The 12,757-nt window shown below is 49.5% G+C and overlaps 1 protein-coding gene across 6 annotated transcripts in view, besides 1 other annotated feature; it reads left to right on the top strand.

Annotated features, from left to right (window-relative positions):
* TFCP2L1 (transcription factor CP2 like 1) overlaps positions 1 to 12,757 on the top strand; it is a 68,616-nt gene that overhangs the window by 28,951 nt on the left and 26,908 nt on the right. For 5 of the 6 annotated variants that reach the window (XM_017003902.2, NM_014553.3, XM_047444020.1 and 2 more), the window contains exons 3-6: positions 6,605 to 6,681; positions 7,165 to 7,270; positions 7,982 to 8,088; positions 9,282 to 9,434. In XM_017003902.2, coding sequence (XP_016859391.1) covers positions 6,605 to 6,681; positions 7,165 to 7,270; positions 7,982 to 8,088; positions 9,282 to 9,434 — 443 coding nt within the window. Of the gene's footprint in view, positions 1 to 2,033; positions 2,224 to 6,604; positions 6,682 to 7,164; positions 7,271 to 7,981; positions 8,089 to 9,281; positions 9,435 to 12,757 lie in introns of all 6 variants that reach the window. The other variant, XM_047444021.1, reaches the window with a different exon arrangement.
* Positions 9,498 to 9,999: an enhancer, noted in NCBI's record as "H3K4me1 hESC enhancer chr2:122003829-122004330 (GRCh37/hg19 assembly coordinates)". NCBI's record gives its function as "activates a minimal SCP1, AML or CMV promoter by ChIP-STARR-seq in naive H9 embryonic stem cells {active_cell/tissue: H9 hESC(naive)}" and the evidence as "EXISTENCE:reporter gene assay evidence [ECO:0000049][PMID:30033119]".

Below are 12,757 nucleotides of genomic sequence, written 5' to 3'. Positions count from 1 at the left end.
ATGTGTTTCAGGGGGACTAGTGTATCGCAAGGAAACGAATATCAAATTTTATGCCACGGCATGGTTACACATTCATGAGAGTTCTAGGTCCATCTTGGTTCAGAGAGCTGAGGGCATGGGGCAGTAGGGATTTGAACCTTAGGAGAAGCGGGAGGGTTTAGATGTGTAGAAGAAGGTCCTGAAATAAAATGAGTATCAAGAAGTTCAGGGGGGCCGGGCACGGTGGCTCACGCCTGTAATCCCAGCACTTTGGGTGGCCGAGGTGGGTGGATCACGAGGTAGGAGATCGAGACCATCCTGGCTAACATGGTGAAACCCTGTCTCTACTAAAAATACAAAAAATTAGCCGGGCGAGGTGGCGGGCGCCTGCAGTCCCAGCTACTCGGGAGCCTGAGGCAGGAGAATGGCGTGAACCCGGGAGGCAGAGCTTGCAGTGAGCCGAGATCGTGCCGCTGTACTCCAGCCTGGGCGACAGAGCGAGATTCCGTCTCAAAAAAAAAAAAAAATAAGTTCAGGGGAAATGTAATAGATACACTCCTTGAATATTGGAGCCAGATGGGACCTTTGCAAGAACGAAACATTGGGTGCAGTAGTCCAGCAGGTGTGGAGGGGTGGCCCAGTGGCCACGTGTTCCACCTTCGGCGTCAGACAGACCAGGTTTGATCTTTAACAGGACACTTCACCTCTCTGGAACTTAATTTCCTCGTTTATAACATAGGGAAACAATAGACTTTTCTTACAGGATTATCGAGTGGACTAAGTGAAATGACGTACATACAGGGCTTGCAGTGTACTGGCACATGGCTACGTGACAATTCAGTTTTGGTTATTTTTAGCCTATTTCCTTGATTCTAAGACCAGCTCCCTCTCACCCCCTCCCCCCCACATTTTACAATTCCTAAATTAGAACAGGCTTTACCACCACCTTCTATAATGATTTGTTTTCCCTCCTGGATCATTGTTAAGAACGTAGGAAACAAACAGAAGCCTTAACTTGGGGAGTTACGCTGTACAACATTCGGCACACTTTAATCTGTGTGCAGAATGGAAGCAGATGCCTTCCAGAAAGGAGAGGTTGAGAGAGGATCATGGACAACTACAGCTGTCTTGTGCCCAGCACGTGACACCCACTGGGTGGGATGTGGCAAGTGTGGTGGGTTCTGGAAACTGACTGAGATTCTGCCATGGGCTCTGCCACTTATGAGCTATGTGAGCTTGCCCCTGTCAGGTAACCTCTCTGAGCCTCTGCTTCCCCCATCCAGGAGGGCAGGTGATCCTAACTGCTAGTGCCACTCATCTGGAGAGCCAGGTGAGTGACTACTTGAGTGGGCTTTGCCACAGATAAGCACCCTGTGAATGGAGCTGTTTGCAGCTGTTCCCTAGAGGCACTCCTCCCCCTCTGCCTGGCTGTGCTTTGCTTTGGGGGATTTCTTCCTTTTTTTTTTTTTTGAAACGGAGTCTCGCTCTCTCCCCCAGGCTGGAGCGCAGTGGCATGATCTTGGCTCACTTCAACCTCTGCCTTGCAGATACAAGCAACTCTCTTGCCCCAGCCTCCTGAGTAGAATAGCTGCGATTACAAGCATGCGCCACCACGCCCGGCTAATTTTTGTGTTTTTAGTAGAGACAGGGTTTCGCCATGTTGGCCATGCTGGTCTCGAACTCCTGACCTCAGGCAATCCATCTGCCTTGGCCTCCCAAAGGCCAAAAATCCCTTGCTGGGATTACAGGTGTAAGCCACCACACCTGGCTGGCTTTGGGATTTCTTTATCATTCTTCCCCTGAATTACAGAAATCCTGCCCACTCTTCAAAGCCCATGTCACATGTTTTCTCATCCCCTGGTTCGAACCTGTCTCACACTCCCCGCCTCGTCCTGGATACCTATTGCTCACTTTTGGGCCTCCTTTGTCTCTTACAGAAATTTTAAACATTATAGTACGGCTCTTCCAGGACTGTTTGATGTACTCCAGAGGATTGTCAACCCTTTGAGGGCAAGAATGTGTCTTAACTTTGGCAAACCCTGTAATTCTAACAGAGAACAGCACTATAGCACTGTAAAGAAGGTGAAATCCCATGGATGCATTTGCTGAGTACCTACTGTGTGCAGACAGCGCAGTGATGAGCAGAACAGACACGACCCGCGCCTTCTCATAGCCCGCTGTCCTGGCTTCCACCCACGCCCAGCAGTGATGTCGGCCAGGCAGAGAAATGCCCTTGTGCCCTAGGTCAGTTCAGCCTGTGTGACCTCGCTCGTCAGCCTGTATGTGACTGTGGGTGGTGGCCTTCTGCGTGGCTTTTGGGATGGTGCTGTTGTGCTGCTGTGTGAGTTGGGTGGGAGGTCACCTTGGGCCCACTGTGTTGGCACGGGGGTAGGCATGCAGAGGGTGGCTGGATGTCCATCTGCATGGCTAGAAAGGAGGATTTGGTGGTGAAGTGTGTGGATCAGGACCCTGCTGCTGATGGAGAAGGCTCCTGCAGCCGTGATCCCTGGCCCAGGAGAAGCTGTGATCCTGGGCCTAACGCCTCACTCAATGGCTTTACCCTTTGTTCAAGGGCTGCCCCTTATGTTCAGGCCTGGAAGTTGCTCTCTACAGGACAGGAGGTGCTTGCTGTTTGGCGTGAGCTGAGGTTGCCCTGCAGAGCCTGGGGTCAGTGCTATAACTGGGCCCTGTGGCACCCGTAAACTCACTTAATGACCACCTGGACATTGGGCCTCATGCTAGGGCCGCTGTCAGCATTCTTTATCTGTGAAGGCAGAGGACATTGGAAAAACCAGTTAGGGTGTGTGAGGCATGTTTTATGTTGATATCAAGGGAGTGTTGGACTCTTGGTTCAGGAGCCTGGAAATGTATGCAATCTGGCTTTTTCAGAAAGTCAGCCATGTTGAATAGGGAAGCAAGACCTTTTTAGGCGTCACATCTCCTGAACAGGCAAGTGGGCAGGATGAGAGTTTGGGGTTTGCTCCTCTTCCCTCTGATGGGAAAGGCGTCCAGCGCGTCACCATGAGCAGCACTGGGGTTTGGCATGGTCAAGAAGTGTTCACTGGCATGTGACCAGAGACCTTCCTAATGGCTGAGACGGAGTCTGACCCAGTGGGCATGGCTGTGCTCGGCCAGTGTCATGGCCGGTGGGGAGCTGTGGTGACAACTCCAGGAACATGGTGCCGTGTGGCTCTGCTGGCCTCTCTGTTCCTAGGATTCCCACCCACCGCATTTGGCATCAAATTGTTGCTCAGCAAACTTTTTATTGTTATTTTTATAGAGACAGCAGCTCGCTGTGTTGCCCAGGTTGGAGTTGGAGACCAGCCTTCCTCAGCCTCCCAAAGCACGGGGATGATAGGTGTGAACAAACATTTGGAATGAATGATTTAATTTCATATTCTTTGTCCATTCCATTATTCTTTGGTGAGGGTGGGAGTGTATTTGTTTTCTGTGGCTGCTGTAACAAGTTGCTACAAACGTGTTAATTATAGATGCATTAACTTAAAACAAAAAATGATTCTCTCACGGTTCTGGAGATTAGCAGTCGGAAATTCGGCAGGGTTATGCTCCTGGGGGATCTTGGGGAGACTTCACACCTTTGAGCTTTGGTGGCCCCAGGCTTCCTTGACTCGTGACCCTGTCACAGCAGTCTCTGCCTCTGTGGTCACATGGTGCCTCCTCTCTTTTCTGTCTCTTGTGTTTCTCATAAGCACACTTGGATTGAGGGCCAACCCAGATAATACAGGGTGACTTCCTCGTCTCAGAATCTTAATTGTGTCTGCTAAGACTACTATTCCAAATATAAGGTCACATTTCCAGGTTCCGGGGATTAGGATGTGACATATCTTTTTGGGGACCACCATTCAACCCACTACAGGAGTGTCTTGGTACTAATCAATTGCTTTTTGAGCTATATAATAGCTCTTGTCTGGGCGTGGTGGCTCGTGCCTATAATCTCAGTACTTTGGGAGGCCAAGGCTGGGGGATCACTTGAGCCCAGGAGTTTGAGACCAGCCTTGGCAACATAGTGAGACTTGGTCTCTACAAAAATAAAAAATTAGCCAGGCATGCTGGCGTGTGCCTGTAGTCTTAGCTACTTGGGAGGCTGAGGTGGGAAGATAGCTTGAGTTGGAAGGTTGAGGCTGCAGTGAGTCTTGATTGTGCCACTGCACTCTAACCTGGGTGACAGAGCAAGACCCTGTCTCAAAAATAGAATAGAATAGAATAGAATGGAATAGAATACAATAGAATACAATAGAATAGAATGCCCGTAGCCACTGGGTTTGCTCTTCCTAGTCTGCAGTTTGTATTAAGTGTTTTTACATTCATACATAGAAGTAATTTTAAATTTTATATAGCCAGATGTCCTTTCCATTGGTTTTAGGTTCAGAAAGTTCTTCCTTATTGAGTATCTGATAGTCATTCATGTTAAAATAAAACCTTAAGAAAGTGACTTTTAAAAACATTGACTAATGAGAATTGTATTTATCATGTGCAACATGATGTTTTGATATACGTATCCATTGTACATTGGTTGAATCTAGCTAAGTAACATAGGCATTACCTCATTTATTATTTTTTTGTAGAGGGAGCACTTGAAATAGCCTGTCAGCAATTTTCTAGAATACAATGAATTGTTACTAACAATAGTCACCATGTTGTACAATAGATCTCTTGAAGTTATTCCTCCTGTCTAATGGAAATTTGTATCCTTTGATCAACATCTTCCCTGTTCCTCCACAAGAAATTGACTTTTTAATCCAATGATAACTTGTTTTGATATTTGCTGTGAGGATCTGCACTCTGAAATAAATAGCTAGTCTCCAAATGTGATTATATTTCATAGATTATACACATACAAGCCTACAGAAAAAGAGAGAGGGAACATGCAAAACCCAGAGAAATCGAAGTAAGGTCTGTAGTTTTGATAATGTACCATGGTTCCATCAGATGCCACCGTGGGGGATGCTGGCACAAGGTACACAGGACTTTAATGTACTTTTTTTTTTTTTCTTTTGAGACCAAGTCTCACTCTCTCGCCCAGGCTGGAGTGCAGTGGCACAATCTTGGCCCACTGCAACCTCTGCCTCCCGGGTTCAAGTGATTCTCCTGTCTCAGTCTCCTGAGTAGCTGGGATGACAATCACATACCACCAAAGCTAATTTTTGTATTTTTAGTAGAGATGGGGTTTCACTATACTGGTCAGGCTGGTCTCGAACTCCTGACCACAAGTGATCCCACCTGCCTCAGCTGGGTGCTGGGATTACAGGTGTGAGCCACCGTGCCTGGCCATATTTTTGTAACTTCTTAAGAGTCTATAATTATTAAAAATAAAAAAATTAAAAAGCTAATTAGATATACCAATACTGGCCAGGCATGGTGGCTCACGCCTGTAATCCCAGCACTTTGGGAGGCCAAGGTGGATGAATCACGAGGTCAGGAGTTTGAGACCAGCCTGGCTAACATGGTGAAACCCTGTCTCTACTAAAAATACAAAAATTAGCTGGGCGTGGTGGCAGGCGCCTGTAATCTCAGCTACTCAGGAGGCTGAGGCAGGAGAATCACTTGAACCCACAAGGCGGAGGTTGCAGTGAGCCAAGATCGTGCCACTGCACTCCAGCCTGGGCAACAGAGTGAGACTCCGTCTCAAAAAAAAAAAAAAAAGATATGCCAATACCAATTATTAAATGATTTATTTTATTATTTGTAAAACACCCTTTATTAAATTGCGATATATGCTACAGTCTTGTAAAATTGTAGTTCAGTATTTAATTTTGGGAAAATTGGCATCATTTGAGTTATATATATATATTTTTTGAGATACATTTTGGGAAAATTGGCATCATTTGAGATATCATCATTTGAGATTATATATATATACACATACATATATGTATGTGTGTGTGTGTATATATATATATATATAACAGTCTTCTGGGAACATGGTGTATCCTATTTATTCATGGTATATTTTATATTTCAATAAAATGCGTGTCATTTCCTTCAGGTTTCATAGATGCTTTTAAATGTTCTGTTGTTATGGATGGATGTTTTTTCCATTTATATTCTTTGACCAGCCTGTGCTAGTTATATGTCCCTGAATATAATTTCCATACCCTTTCAAATACATGGAATTCTTTTAACTGGGGAACATGCTTTGCATTCTGCCATTAGAGACAATGTTTAACAGGCTTCTTCGTTCCTTCAAACCTGCTCTCAGGAAGGGTGTGGTTGGTTATTTACCCTGTAATGTGAACTTAAGTAGCTGTGTTCTCCATCCCGTTGTATTGGGGGGTTTGTAAAGATGTATGAGTTTGTGTTCAGTGATTTTAATGCTAACTGTATTTTCCTGGATTCTGTTTATTTGAACATTGTAGAGGTGCTATCTCTAGTAGGGTCACACGGTGTGTTGTCTGGGGTATCCTAGGCCCGACCTGGCGGGGTGGACAGACTGATGTCAGTCCAGAGAGTGAGCTGAGCTGGTCGTGGGTTTTCTTCTCTGCTTTGCTCCCCAGGGCCTTGAGGCCTGGATGGGCACTGAGGGTGTTGAGAAGGCTGCTAGCTGAATGAACCCCAAATTTAGAAATACTCAGAAATGGAAAATGTCCTTTTAACCCCCATCCAGGTCAGTCTTATGAAATCCGACTACTGGAGAATCGGAAGCTGGGAGACTTTCAAGATCTGAACACAAAATATGTCAAGGTAAGCCTCACAGGCTGTTCTCATTGCCTCGGGGAGAGGGGCTTGATTAGGGTCTGGGCACCTGGGCTTGCTGGGGTTGGGCACGGGTAGCTGGAAGGTTAGGGAGAGGCCGGGTTCAGCTCAGCCCTCAACGGTGAGACGCAGCCCCTGTTTGGCTTCTCTGGAGCCTGTTGCCCAGGTGGGGATTAGATGGGCTGGCAGCGTTGAACTTTTCTGAGCTGCAGTTTGCTCATCTGCACAAAAGGGTTAATAACGTAAAGCACTTAGTAATACTGGGACAAATGGTAGTCATCACTGTTGTTGCTGTTGTTAGTGTTACTGGAATCTGAGGAGGGGACAGTGGGCAAAGCTTGAGAACTGGGAAAGGAAGCCCCAGGGGGAGGGGCCTCAAAGGTGGGAGGGTTTACTGTGGCTCAGGGAAAAGAGGTGGGTTCCTCTTGGCCCCCCGCGGTCACTTGTTTCCCTGCTGGCCTCCCTCCCCAGAGCATCATCCGTGTGGTCTTCCATGACCGCCGGCTGCAGTATACGGAGCACCAGCAGCTGGAGGGCTGGCGGTGGAGTCGGCCAGGGGACCGGATCCTGGACATCGGTGAGTCTCCTGGCCAGGAGAGGCCAGGCAAGGCTCGAGGCACCCAGGCCACATTGGGTTCTTCCTGGATGCCACCCGGACCTATGCCGAGAAGGCGTTTTAGCTTGCACCTGCTCTGTGTAAAACCCCGCGGGAGCTTGCAGAGCTGACCATACACTGGGTCCTGCCCTCGAGGAGTCCCCTTTTTCAGTGGAAAAGAAAGGTCTGTGGAATTGAGAGACCTGCTCACAGGGAGTTCAGGGAAGGCTTTGCGGAAGGATGGTGCCTTAAAGGATTTTGATAAGTGTTGAAGACAACCGTGAGCATCACAGAGATAGATGGGCAATGGAAATGGAATTCTGGGGCCTCAGGGACTGGCCCACAGTCCTTTACCCATAATCCTTGTGGCCAGGTGGGTTTTGGAATTCAGAAGCTAGAATGACAATACGATGTGTGTACCCAGAGCATCAGGGAACATCTCCAACAGGCAGCCAAGCACGGTCATATTTCTGTAGCAAAATAAAATGACGGTTCATACAAAACGGGGTGAAGACAACACAGCGCTTGTGGTTCAGGTCAGGCTTTCCGTCCAGTAAGTTATGCAAAACTTTTTCAGAGCTTTTGGCATTGCAAATTGGGGCGAAGGAATTGGGACCTGTAACAGGGGTCTTTCCCTAAATATTTGGGAGAGGCTGACAATTGCACTTTCTGTATGTGTGTGTGTGTATGCAGATATTCCACTGTCTGTTGGTATCTTGGACCCCAGGGCCAGCCCGACCCAGCTGAATGCAGTCGAGTTTTTGTGGGACCCTGCGAAGAGAGCTTCTGCATTCATTCAGGTGGGCCACAGGGAGCTTGCCCTCCAGGGGAAGACCTAGTCTTTGGGGTGGCCTGCGTGCAGTTTCTCAAAACTAACCCATCTGGGAGGGTCTGGATGAGCTTCTGCTCCCTGTCACTGGGAAGGAAACTGCAGGAGAGAGAGAATGAGTGTTGCAAAGAGTCACAGAGCTCATTGGTCCATATTTAGGGAAAGGAGTGGGGAGGGTTTTAGAATTCTATCTGGGTTTTGCCCGTAGAATATATAAGCTTTTTATAAATGAGTATTTCCCAACAGAAATCATTTGAAAGTAAACATTTTTTCTATTATAGTTTCTATTGTTGAATGAATTATTTTGTTATCAAGCACTGGTGTGGATCCAGCCTTGTGTTATATGCCATGTGAGATCAAGGTGGTGAAGGATGTGACTGTGGCATTGTGGTTGCGGTTCTGGCTTGATCCTGGCTCTCTCGCTTGCTGTGTGTCCTTGAGCAAGTCTCCTCCCCTTTCTGAGCCTCTTAGTTTTCTAACCTCCCATCTTACAAATCAGATAATGAATACAGAGCCATTAGCACTGTCTGGTCCCTAGGAATCACTCAATAAAAGCGATCTTTTCTTTCTCTTTTTTTTTTTTTACAATTACAATACTCTTAATATGTTTAAAAATTATTACATTGTTATTATTACAGTTATGTATGGATTCTTATAATATTGCAGTATTATAACAATACATTGATATCGAGTGCCATTTATGTAGTAGGAACCTACCAGAAGTACAGAAATGGTTCCAGCCTTCTGGTTGTCCTTTAAGCCTGGCCTGAGTAGCCTGGACACCAGGACATTAGAGAGGGGTTAGGGCTGTGCTGTGGTCCCTGCCCTCAGTCTAGGATTTGCCAAGGGAGAGGAATCTGGGTGAGGAGTTAGGTTGAGGTTATTGGGGTCAGTGGCCTGGGGAGTGGTGGGGACTTAGCTGGTCAGGCAGGGCCTCCACAGTAAAGAGACAAAGGTGGGGGTGTGTATGTCTTTTGCAGGCAGGGGAACAGGGAGGCCACCGGCCTGATGGAGTGGACAGAGTGTCAGGGAAAGCAGGGAGGTCGAGGCAGGCCTGCACTGACCAAGCAGGGAAGGACACCTCCAATAGAGGGGGCGCTTGGGGGATCCAGGGGCACCCTGCTTGGTGCCTCCTTGCCACCTGCCCAACGTTTCTCCTCCCAGGTACACTGCATCAGCACAGAATTCACCCCCAGGAAGCACGGGGGCGAGAAGGGAGTGCCCTTTCGAGTCCAGATTGACACGTTTAAGCAGAACGAGAATGGGGAGTACACGGAGCACCTGCACTCAGCCAGCTGCCAGATCAAGGTGTTCAAGGTAGGATGGCTTCGCAGGCTCTGCCGTGCCCTGCTGCTGGCCTGGCCTGTGGTCACATTCGCCCACAGAGACCCTGGAGTTTCCTCTTACAGGCCCAGCGAGGAACGCAGCATCCCTTTAGCACATGGCTTCTACCTGGGCTTCTAATGCACACGAGCTTCAAGTCCAGGCACCACAGGCTGCTGCTGCCCTGCTGGGGGCATCTTTTCACCTGCGGCACCCGCTCAGCTTCTGGCAGAAGCATCGGCATGGATGTCCGTCCTGGCTGTCGGTCCTCGGCGCTACTCTATAAGAATGATTGGGATTTGCACATTTTAGCTTTTTTTTCTCCCAAGCACATTACAGTTGCCCACAGGTGCTCACGTCTGGATTCTCCTTAAAAATCAAAGCAAGAGTCTCTCCCTGCTGGAGGCCTGGCCTCGGATCTTCCTGTTGAGGGCTTGAAGCCATTTTTCTCTTTGCAATGGCTTCCTGTTAGAGAAACATTTTCATTTCACCTCCCTTTTCTTCCCCTGCTTCATTCCCTACAGTCGCCTGTCACTATTTTCCATCTCTTCAATCTGGACTGATTATTTCCTGAAGATAGTAGCCAACGATAGAGCTCAGTGTCCTGTGTGGCCTCAGGGAGATGTGGAGGGTTGCATGAGCTTGCATCATTCTCAGGGCATGAGGGCAATCCATGTCCAAGCAGGCCCCAGCCCCACAGTCCCCAGCCCCTGTAGGCCCTGTCTGCCGGGGCCGCTCTAGCAGGTGTTTGCAGAGAAGGAGTGGACCCACCTCCTGGGCAGGAATTGCCTTGAGTAACCAGCCCTGGTGCTCATTCCATCTTCCTCTTGTTTCACATTCAAGTGAATTTGGAGCCTGCTGAGAAAGTTCCATCTTCTGGGGCTGGAGACCCAAGAGGGAGTTGCTTTAGACAGGGCCCTTTAGAAAGCTGGGTGTGTGCTGATCTTCCCCCAGACCGAAGGCACGGGCCTGTGGAAGACCCATGCTTGGAACGGATGTGGGAATAAATGCCCACAGGTAGAACCATAAACCTGGTGGCAACCCTGGGAGACAGGGATGGTGCCATTTCTCACAGAGCCTGGCCCACAGTGAGCACTGGGCAGTGATCTGGGGACGCACCATCACAGCTGCAGTAGAGGAAGCCGAGGATGAGCTGATGGAGTCTGCACTCAGGAGACCACACAGCCGGGCTGCCTGACCGTTGTGGGCACAGGGTTCTGAGGCCCTGGCCCAGCTCCGTGGTTTGGGACGCCTTGGTTAGTCAGTGATGTGGGCCCCAAGTGGGAGGGAGAAGTGGCTGGAGGGATGTGTGTTTGTCTTTCCTGGCAGAGCAGTGGCCTCCAAGGGGAGCTGTGCTCCTCTACTCTGCTTGCTTCCTATTGCTGCTGTCACAAATGGCCACAAATTTTATGACTAAAAACTCTGTGCATTTATTATCTTCCAGTGCTGGCAGTCAGAAGTCTGAAATGGTCCTCACTGGGCTAAAGGTGTCAGCGGGCCTGTGTTCCTTTCCCGAGGCTCTGGGCGGGGCTCTTGCCTATTCCAGCTTCCAAAGCCATTCCTAGGTTCATGGTTCTTCCTTTGTCTTCAAAGCCAGCAGGAGCAGGCTGAGTCCTTCTCACATGGCGGCCCCAACCTCCTCGTCTACCTCCCTCTTCCTTTTGTAAGGATGCTGTGATTACACGGGGCCAAGCAGTTAATCCCAGATAGTCTTCCTATTGCATCAGTTGCGTAGCAATCTTAATTCCATCTGAAACCTCCATTCCCCATTTGCCATGTTAGGTGACATATTCACAGGTTCTGGGGATTAGCAAACAGCCATCTTTGGGAACCATTATTCTGCCGACCACGTCCACCAAGCAGTGGGCGTGGCGGCCCTGTGGTATTTCTGCCTGCTCTGGGATCTGCCGGTCCTGGACACCTGCATGGCTGTGTGCTGTGGTCTTCTCCTAGTCTGTGGTTCACTGTCGCTCTGGCCACCACCTCCCCTCATGTACAGACCGCGTCTCTGCTCTGCCAGCCTTGGCCCCCGTCAGGCAGCGGTTCACTCCCTCACCAGGGATGTCATGTTAGTTCTGCTGCTCTCAAGGTGTGTGCCCTGGGGGAGACGCTGTGCTGGGCAGTAGGAGAGAATTGAGGTAGGCATCTCCACCCCCATGGGTGGGAGCTTCTACACCTTGGGTCAGAAGCTTAGGAGTGGGGGCTCTGTCTACCAGGCTCCTCAACCCATGCCAGGCGTTGCTTGGGGAGTTGGGCTGGAAGCTGCGTGGTCTCAGTGCCCTGAGGAAGGCCTTGGCATCTCCTGCAGGGAGTAGGGGTGGCAGGGCCCCTAGTCACCCAAAACTGGCTCCTCAGAATGCCTGAGGTGTGTCCTTCCACCTGCCTGCCCCCACTCACAGAAGAGATGCAGCTGATGTGCAGAAGCCAGGCTGAGCCGAGCCAAGCTGCCTGTCACCCCTCCGTTCGCCGGTCACCCCAGTTACTGGGAAGCCTGGCTTGTTGGAGCCGCTCCCTGGGACTGTGTGTGGGGTGTCAGGGTCTCTGAAGGGAAAGGCAGGGCTCCTGTCTGAGCAACCAGCTCCCTCCAGGCCTCATCAAGGCCCAGTGCGTGCCCTGCATGCAGGCTCGGCCATGGTCTGGCTGTAACCCCACCTTGCTTGTACCCTCTGTGCAGGGAGGAGGAGTCTCCTGAGAGACAGGAGCTGGAGGTGGAGCAGGGAAGCCAGGTCGTGGGGGTATGGCTGCCACACACCACACTCTTACCCGGGACGCTGGATCTGTTGCGCACATCCCTGTGTGACCTCTGCCACCCTGCTTCATCCAGGGCAGGCATCACTCCAAGGCAGCGGGGCCCCAACCTTTTTGGCACCAGGGACTGGTTCTGTGGAAGACCGTTTTTCCACGGAAGAGAGGGGGATGGTTTCGGGATGATTCAGTGCATTACATTTGTTGTGCACTTTATTTCTGTTATTATTATATCGTAATATATAATGAAATAATTATACAACTCATCATAATGCAGAGTCAATGGGAGCCCTGAGCTTGTTTTCCTGCAACTAGATGGTCTCATATAGAGGTGGCGGGGGGAGGACAGTCACCCATCATCAGGCATTAGATTCTTATAAGGAGCACGCAGCCTGGATCCCTTGCATGTGCAATTCACAAAAGGTTTTGCCCTCTTATGAGGATCTAAATCCGCCACTGGTCTGACACGGGAGGCAGAGCTTAGACGGTAATGTGAGCAGTAGGGAGCAGCTGTAAATACTGTGAAGTATTTACTTCACAGTAAGATGAAGATGAAGCTTCGCTCACTCACC

The sequence above is a fragment of the Homo sapiens genome, chromosome 2, assembly GCF_000001405.40.
Source record: "Homo sapiens chromosome 2, GRCh38.p14 Primary Assembly".
Lineage (NCBI taxonomy): Eukaryota > Metazoa > Chordata > Mammalia > Primates > Hominidae > Homo > Homo sapiens.
This window is presented reverse-complemented; position numbering and strand designations above follow the sequence as displayed.